At 51.4% G+C, this 9,221-nt stretch overlaps 2 annotated features.

The window, feature by feature from the left end:
* Positions 1,622-1,681: an enhancer, noted in NCBI's record as "active region_15656". NCBI's record gives its function as "activates an Ori minimal core promoter by ATAC-STARR-seq in GM12878 lymphoblastoid cells {active_cell/tissue: GM12878}" and the evidence as "EXISTENCE:reporter gene assay evidence [ECO:0000049][PMID:35858748]".
* Positions 1,706-2,487: an enhancer, noted in NCBI's record as "H3K4me1 hESC enhancer chr2:43227725-43228506 (GRCh37/hg19 assembly coordinates)". NCBI's record gives its function as "activates a minimal SCP1, AML or CMV promoter by ChIP-STARR-seq in naive H9 embryonic stem cells {active_cell/tissue: H9 hESC(naive)}" and the evidence as "EXISTENCE:reporter gene assay evidence [ECO:0000049][PMID:30033119]".

Below are 9,221 nucleotides of genomic sequence, written 5' to 3' on the forward strand. Positions count from 1 at the left end.
CATTTTTCTAAAACCAGCCACACTGGCGACGCGCTGGGGCGCTTACACAGTTATAACGAAGCCGTTCGCTGAAAGAGAGTCAGAACCGGACGGTGCCCCCCAACACATCCCACACTGAGGAACCCACCTTTGTCCCCGGAATTCCTACAGAAACTTTTGGGGACTCAGGACAGTCTGAAACTGGGACTAAGAGGGGGCATTGTGTCAATCCATTTATTAAATATTTGGCAAGTCATTCTTAAATTTCCAGATGGAAAAAACAAACTGACTCACAATATTTTTACACCTAACCCAAAGGGTCATAAGGCGCATTTCCCTTGGAGACCAAGATAGAGGGAGGGAGCTTCCATCTTTTCCCATGGGATAAGCTGGGAGATGCCTGCCCATTTTCAAAAGCCCCAGAGTCCCACCTGCTGGGTGGGACTCTGAAGGCAGAGGAGCCGTCTTTGTGGAGAGTAATATAATCAGAAGGAAACCCAAGCTTCTGAGTTCCTCAGCATCTTGCACCATCTCCTAAAGGGCGCAGGGGATACGGCAACCCCTGGAGGGGCGAGGGGGGAACCAGTGCAGTAGGCATTATCCCTGAGAGGCTCCTCCATGCATCCCTCATGGACAGGGCCTCTAATCATGGCCAGTGGGCAGGGGTGTGGGTGCTGGGTGCAGGCAGCAGCTGTGGGTGTCCGTAGGGAGCAAAGCCGTAGGGAAGGCCTTGTTGTCTTGAACCTGGAGTCATCCCAGGAGGCAGGGCCCAGAAAAGGGCCTCTCCCTGCCCCTCCCAGCTTTACAGAACCTACTGCTTAGAAGATCCTCTGTAAATATTTGTTGGATTTAGTTGAATGGAGTTGAAATCTCATTTCCTGATTCTGGTAAGGCTGGAAGTGCAGGCTGAGTGGGTGGGATCCAATTCACTGGGGGTTGGGGTGGGAGGGATGCAAGGCCATACTAGGCAGCTCAGCTCTTGGGGCATGTCCTGAACCTGGAAGACCACAGCCATTCCTGCCCTTCTACCCCACCACTACTTGTGTGAGGGTCCCCAACCCGAAAGAGGTTCCTGATCGTTCAGGACGCTAGGAAGCAGAAAGGAAGCCAAGGCCAGAGACAAGGAGAGGCTAAGTGAAGGAGGCAGCCACACCCAAAACCCCAGGAGCATCTGGGCGGCCCTCACCCCACAGGAGAACCCACCCCCCCTCCACTGCCCCACCCCGCCCTGCCCTCTAACACTGTACCAGGCAGAATGCAGCATCTCCACTGTGTGTGTGTGCGTGTGTGTGTGTGCATGTGTGTGTGCACAGCCTGAGTCTCCCTTGGACAGAGCCTTGGTCCCAATCTTGGTACTTTTTTTCCCAAGAAAGCTCGGCAGCCAGTTCTGCCGTTTTTGGCCAGGCTCTTGGGGAAGGCGGCCTGTTTGGGCACATGGGCTCCCACGTGCGCAGAAGCATCACCTGCCCTCCATGTGATGCGCACACTCACAGACCCACATGCTTACGTACTTGCAGACTCGCCCAGGCACACGTGTATCGCCACATGCAGACACGCAAGCATACACTTGCTGCACTCAGACCTCCTGGTGTGAACACACGGTGTGCACCGTCGGAGATAGCCAGTGGCCCCACGTACATGCCATCCCTCAGGCACAGAGAACCAGCCCACAGGTCCCACTTGGAGGGACATGAAGCAGACAGGGTCCCCAGGCTGTATGCTTCTCCTAGGCCGGTGTCCACCACAGTCAGCCACATACATCTGCTGCCATGACACAGGCTCCCTTTGTGCTGCCAGGCCCAGGGGGACAATGGGGGTCTGTTTCCTCCCCGGAGCTCAACACCATCCCTCTCCCCACAACACTGCCTGGCAGCCTGGGGCCTGGGAGCCCAGCCGCATGTTTCAGAGGGTTCAGAGGGTTCGGGAAACTCCCCAAGGCCACGTTCTGCATGCGGAGCTCCAGGGGAAGCCCAGTCTGGTGGGGGCTTCCAGGGGCCCCAAGGGAACTGTGGCTCCCTCTGCTCTGTGATGGGGAGGGGAGAACCGGGGTCTGCACTTATTGTGATCCTCTGGCATCCAGTCAGGCCAAGGTTGACAGTGGAGGTCCCGCTAGAGGGGGTGGCTGTGCCTGTGGGCCTGGGAAGGCCTCTCGAGCCTGGGCTGCCCTGTCCACTGCTGAACTGCACCTGCGCCGAGGCAGGCACAGACCCCTACAATGCCCGGGAGGAGAGTCTTGATTTCTCATAAGGACATGGCCACTCTGTGAATCTGAGTTTTGGGGACTTGGAGGCTGCAGCCTGCTGGTCACTTGACTCCCTCAAATGTCCCATGACCAAAGCCACTGTCGCCACCACACCCTCCATTTCTGTTTTGACATCCTTGCTACTTTTTCTGGCATTCAACACCACCTCCCTCCTGCAAAATATTCATTCAGTCTCTCAGTCACTACTGATGGAGTACTCACTGGGTACGAGGAACTGCTCTGGGCACGGGCTACTGGATTTTTCTCATTTTACTCTCTGTGACATCTTTGGACAAGTCTTAGGTTCCAGGCCAGTTGATTTTTCTTGCTTTCTTCCACATATACTGCTGTTTCTTTTTCTGTGCTGTTTGCTCATTCACCTATGAATTAATGCAATCCACATTTATTGGGCATTGGGTTGACAGATAAAATAATGCAATATTTCTATTCATTGTTATTATTTTATTATTACTATTCATTGTTTATCTGAAATTCAGAATTAACTGGGCATCTTGTATTTTTATTTGTTAAATTTGGTAGCCCTAACTGAGCACCTACTGTGAGCTGTCCTCCACAAATACAAGGACAGCAGACCCAGTGCCTGCCCCTCAGAGAGCTCCCAGTCTAGTAGGAGAGGTCCTACTATAGGCAAGAAAGGAGATCCATACCTCAAGGAAGGGTGGGGGCTCTTACAAGTGGATTCAGGGTACCATGGGTGCTCAGGGAAGGGGAACCCAACCTGGCCTTGAGTGGGAGGTGAGAAGGCTTCCTGAAGAAATTAACTTAAGTCTTAAAAATTAAGTAGGGAGTCAGGCACAATGAACAGTGGAATGGGGGCAACAGGGTGCCATTCAGTGCATTGATGCAGGGAGCCCCACAGTGAAATGGCTGCCTGCTGGGTGGGGTCAACTGGCACAGGGCTGAAGGTGTGTAAAGGAGCTGCTATCAAGGCCAGCTTGCAAGATTGGGCAGACAGAGACAAAGGACCCAGAAACTGTGTGTAGCCTCTACTTTCTATAAAAGGATGAGGCAAAGAAGGATTCATGATTGGAGGTTGAGAGCTTGGTGTTCAGAAGGAGAAGAAGCAGATGTCATATTGACCTCGTGCTGGGATCACGTGGACATTCTCCAGCTGGGACCTACGTAGCCAACCTGTGGCTGCATGTGAGCAAGGGGGATATGGCAGGCACAGACCTGTGTGTACACATGTGTGAGCACTACACATGAGGTACATGTGAGCATGTAGGGCCGTGTAAAGGGGCTGGGTGCTTGTGTGCACAGCATTTGTTATGGCCTCAATGTTCTGGGTATGCAAAATCAGGGTAGCAATGAATGTAATGAACACAGGCATCAGCATGAGAAATCCCGGAGTATGAATCCTGACTCTATCACTTAGTAGCTGGAGAACTTTCAGAGTCACATCACCTCTCTGAGCCTCAGTTTCCCTCTTTGTAAAAATGGAGGAAATTTCATCTAACCTTTCCCTAAAACAAACAAGCCAACAAATAAATACATAGGACTAATGCTAATTTTGCATGGCTGTTATTAAGATTAAATGAGATGATGTATACAAAATAACAGGCAGGTAAGCTGCCTAAAAGTTTATTTTTCTTCCCCCTCAAACACTCTGCCTGCTCTTCACTCAGCCATCACCACATGAGTAACAATATATAAAGTGAACAATATACTACGCATATGTTGTATATACATAATGAAAATAATAATATACAATGAATAACATTATAATGTGAACCAACCAGTTAAGATTTTCTAAGGTATTCATAATTAGGAAATGGAAGATAGTATTCTTTGTCTACCCTAGCATGCTTTTTCTGTAATTACTTTTTTCCCTTAAACTAAGAAGCATAAAGACTTGCTATCCACCAATGGTTAGGATTTAAAGAAACGCAAACACTTGGGCATGGCCAGTTATTGCCATTACTAAGTTTCTGCTTAGTAGAAATTAATAACTGCAGAAGCTAACTCTGTTTCTTACTGATTTAAGAATTTCTCCAGCAACTGTTCTCAGGGCTCTAGGGAGCAATGGGCCCCTTGTAGCTAGCTCCTCTTGTGCTGTCAGCCATAACTGCCTCGGGAGGAAGATAGTATCTGTGAGTCTGTTCTAATCCCAGGAAAGGTCTTAACTCCTTGCACACTACGTTCTCATCTCTACTTTGCACACCAAAGAAGGCCTCTGTTATGGACTGAATGTTTGTGCCCCTCCAAAATTCATGTCACAGCCCTAACCCCTCAGTGTGGCTGTATTTGGAAATGGGGCTTCTAAGGAAGTAATTAAGGTGAAATGCAACCAGAAGGGTGGGGCCCTAGTCCCATAGGACTGGTGTCCCTATAACAAGAGGAAGAGATATGAGAGATCTCTATTCTCTTTTTTTTTTTTTTTTCTTTTGAGACAGAGTCTCGCTCTGTCGCCCAGGCTGGAGTACAATGGTGCGATCTCAGCTCACTGCAACTTCCGCCTCCCAGGTTTAAGTGATTCTCCTGCCTCACTCAGCCTCCCGACTAGCTGGGACTACCGGCGCATGCCACCACGCCCAGCTAATTTTTTGTATTTTTAGTAGAGATGGATTTTCACCATGTTAGCCAGGATGGTCTCGACCTCCTGACCTCATGATCCACCTGCCTCAGCCTTCCAAAGTGCTGGGATTACAGCCATGAGCCACTGTGCCCAGCCAAGAGATCTCTCTTCTACTACATACAGGAAAGGCCATATGAGGACACAGCTAGAAGGCAGCCATCTGCAAGCCAGGACAAGAGTACTCACCAGGAACCAAATTGGCAGCACCTTGATCTTGGACTTCTCAGCCCCCAGAACTGTGAGAAATAAATGTCTGTTGTCGAAGCCACCCAGTCTGGTATTTTGTTATGGCAGCCTAAGCAGACTAACACAACCTCTTTCTCCCCTGCCTTGTCTGCCCAGGGCAGCTTTGTTGCAGACCTACAGTAGTGCATGACTTGCATGCACAAGACAGGAGGTCACCCTGTGGCTCTTTCTCATCAGTGGGTCTCCAAACTGACACATTTTCTTTCTTTTCTTTTCCTTTTTCTTTTTTTCTTTCTTTTTTTTTTTTTTTTTTTTTTTTTTTTGAGACTGAGTCTCACTCTGTCACCCAGGCTGGAGTGCAGTAGTGCAATCTTGGTTTACAGAAACTTCTGCCTCCTGAGTTCAAGCAATTTTCCTGTCGCAGCCTCCTGAGTAGTTGGGATTACAGGCACCTGCCACCATGCCCGGCTAATTTTTGTATTTTTAGGAGAGATAGGGTTTCGCCATGTTGGCCAGGCTGGTCTTGAATTCCTGACCTCAGGTGATCCACTCACCTCGGCCTCCCAAAGTGCTGGGATTATAGGTGTGAGCCACCTCGTCCGGCCCAAACTGACATTTTATAGGGATTTTTCATCCTTAAAGTGATCTACTCAGCTCATTTCTTCCAAATCTGTATTTTACAGCACACTTTAAACTGGTGTCGCAGAGTTTTTGAGTGGTGATGGCAGCTGCCCTCTATGTCTGTGGTGTGCCGGCCCCTCATGCTGGGGAAAGAGGGGACGTGACCCTACCCTCACAGCAGGCTGGCCTCCTTTCTCTCCCAGAGCTGCCGTCCCTGCTCTGTGCTAACTAGCCCAATCCTAGCCTACAGCACCAGCTTGGGGTCTAGCCCACGTTTACCACACTTTAGCTCCCAGCTTGGATGACCAGCTGCCTGTGATTTACCCATTTGTGATACTGATTTCCAGAGGGGCCACCTGTGCTCAGTACCTGCATGACTTCTCTCCTCCAATCCTCTATTTAACCACCTTAAGTAGTTTCTCCTGTCTTCCTCATTTTATAGATTGCGGCTCAGTCAGACAAAATTCCTCTCTCAGAATCCGCTGGTGGAGAAGGAGCTGGGATTCACACCCAGCCTCCTGGTAATAATCTGCATTTCTCCTTCAGCCTTCAGGGCCTTGCCTGTCTACCCAAGAGTGATCCCCGCCTTCCCTCTGTCTCACTCGCCCTGTCCCCCCAGCTAAGTGCAGATGTTCACAGCTCTCTATTTTTAAGCACATTCCACTAGAAGTTCAGCAACTTGAATCCCCCCAGCACCTACGACAGAGCCTGCATATTTAGGTGAATAAATGAACTATTCTTGTCCTAACTAGACTTCAAGTCCTAGGAAGCAGAATGGCTATGCCTGGTTTCCACTCCCGCACCATAGTACCCAGCATAGCACCAGAACCGTGGGGCCTCTTCCCCAGCCCTTGACACTCCCAACCCTGCCTTCAGCTGCCGGAACTGACTTTTCCCATGATTGCTAATATTTCTTCCTTTTTTTTTTTCTCTAAATCAACATTAGCTTTGCTAGCTCCCTACCTTCCACCTGATAAGAATGGGGTACGGGATCTGTACGAACTTGGGGTGTGCTTTTCTCGCCTTGTCAAAACAGCAGCTCCTATCTGGCTGGCGATGGGCTGGGAGCCAGACCCCAACAATGGAGCCTTGTGAGCCGGCCCCGGGGGTGTGCTGGGAGCCCACGGTTGAGCACACACACAACCCTTCCTGGTGCCACCTTCTTATCTCCTGCCACCAAGCCCTTGCCAGTGGTGGGACTGTAACCCAACCCCCTGTAATTGCATGTCCCAGATAGAACATTCCTGGGCTCAGGCCACGGTTAAACATTGACTTAGGGTGCTGGGGGCAGTCATCACAGACTGTAGGTGCTCCTGATGGGGGAGGCGCTAGCTGGGTGTCCACCACTCCCCTCCCAGTGGTCCTGGACTAACTGAGAAAGCCACGGCACAGAGCAGGCAGGCTCAGCTGCCCACATCTTTGAGTCAGTGTGCTGGAGGAGCCGCGGGCCTGTTCAAAAAGAATCATTTCTTTTCTCCTGCCTGCCCTCTGCCTACCTCCCACTCTCCCTAGCTGCCTCTTCGGATTTCTCCAACCTTCTCATTTCTGCTTCTCCTTCTTGTCTTCCTCTCTCCTATCTTCGATCTCAGGTCCTCTCCCTCCTTGGGCCTGGCCTGTCTCTTCTCGTCTTCCCTTGTCCTGGGGCCCTTTCCCATGTAGTGAGCCCAGATGTGCCCAGGCAAAGGGGCTCTGCTCTCTCTTCTGCACCCCTCTGCCTCTGGCCTCTCTGGGAAATGGAAGGTGGGGTGGAGGAAGCAGGTGGCTTTAAGACCAGTGCCTCCCTCTGACAGGGCGGGGGGTCAGCTCAGCCGGGGCTGGTGGGGCCGCCCCTCTTCCTGTGCTTGTGTGGGGTGAGGTGCTGGCCCTGCCCTCCTCCCCAATCACTAGGGTCAGACGGTCGATTCTTCTTCCTGCCACCTTATGCACAGGGAGGCATGGCGCTGTTCCCCAGGTCTCACAGGGAGTACAGCAGGACATGCCCGGGATGCTTGTGTCTCATACCTCGGTGGGGCCTCTTTGCATTGGCACCCTGGCTGCCCAACCCACTCCCCAGCCCACTCTCAACCTAGGAGACCCTGTCATGGGTGGGGACTTTGTGGATGCTCTGCCGCGCCATGGGGTATCTCCTGCCCCCAGCACAGAAATCCTTTGCAGGCCTCCCAAAGCTATGCCCAGGGTGCCCCATAGCCTGCTGCCCTCAAGGAGTATGGGCTGCAGGGCCCAGGGCACCCCCACTCCCTGGGACACCCCTGGGGAGGGTTCTGATGCCAGGGCTCCTTTGCAAGGGGTTGGCACCTTTGCAGAATCTCCCAAAGAAGGAGGCTTCAAGCTTTGAAACTCCTCACTACAAGGCCAGGTTGGGCTGACCATATACACAGCTCCCTCAGCTGATGCCCTGCTTCCATTCCCACGCAGACCTTTTGTGCTTCAGGTTAAGGGTCACAGGCAGAAGGACAGGCCCAGGGGCATACAGAAAGGGCCTTGCCTTGCAGCACCTACAGTGAGCCTGAGAGGCCCCCAGAGTTAGGAAAAGGAGAATATCCAGCAGGTGCAGGAGCCAGGGAGCCAAGGAGGAAGGGAGCAGGCCAGAAGGGTGCTGAGGCAGCCTTAGGCCTCTGGGCAGCCATGGCTCCAGCCACTCAACTAACTCCGGGGTTGGGATAAGGTGGGCCTCAGAGCCAGGGCTTCTGTGGTGCGCAACAGGAGGCCCCATGGAGGACCCACACTGCTTTCTAGGCCACTTGTATAGAGCCTGTGGAGTCAGACTATTCAGATTCAAATCCTGGCCCTGCACTTATTAGCTGGGTGGGTTTTGGCAAGCCACTTTCTTAACATCCCAGAGTCTCAGTTTTCTCATCTGTAAAATGGATATAATAAAAGCACGTGTACACTGGGTTTTACATAAGAGTGCAAGAGACAATGCAGAAGTACTTGTTCATCATGCTTCAGAGGGCAGGTAGCTCTTCTGATTGTCATTATGGTTAGTAGTATCAGTAATAGAGTTGTGTCGTGGTTATATTACTGAGAGGGCTCACAGACTATTGTGTTGCTTCCTTGACCTGCAGTGCTTTCTCTTTTAATCACCCTAGTGTTTCCAAGCCCCCCAGGAGCTCTAGGACCCTGCCCAAGGACTCCCTGTATCCTGCCCTGAGTTGTTTTCCTGGTGTCCTATACCAGGGCTACTTGCTCTAGGCCCTAGACCACCCCCACCAGATCCCACACCAACCCTCATGGTCCCCAGATGGACTTAGGATGACTCTTTCTCCCCAGATGCACAGTTAGCTCCATGGAAAGGGCTTCTCCCTCTTTGTTGCCTCTAGTGCAGGTTTGGGGACTCAGCCTGTGCTATGGGTTAGGGGAGTGACTCAGTGTATTGAGTACCTCTCACTGTGTAACAAATTTCCTCAAAACTTAGCAGCTTAAAACAACAATAAATATGTATCATCTTGCACTGTTTCTGGGAGTCATAAATTTGGGAGAAGCTTAGCCAGAGGGTCTGCTCAAGGTCTGTCATGAGGTTGTAGTTAAGATGTCAGCTGGGGCTGCAGTCATCTGAAGGCTCAACTGGGGCTGGAAGAGCTGCTTGCAAGATGGCGC

Source organism: Homo sapiens, chromosome 2 (genome assembly GCF_000001405.40).
Source record: "Homo sapiens chromosome 2, GRCh38.p14 Primary Assembly".
NCBI classification, from domain to species: Eukaryota; Metazoa; Chordata; class Mammalia; order Primates; family Hominidae; genus Homo; species Homo sapiens.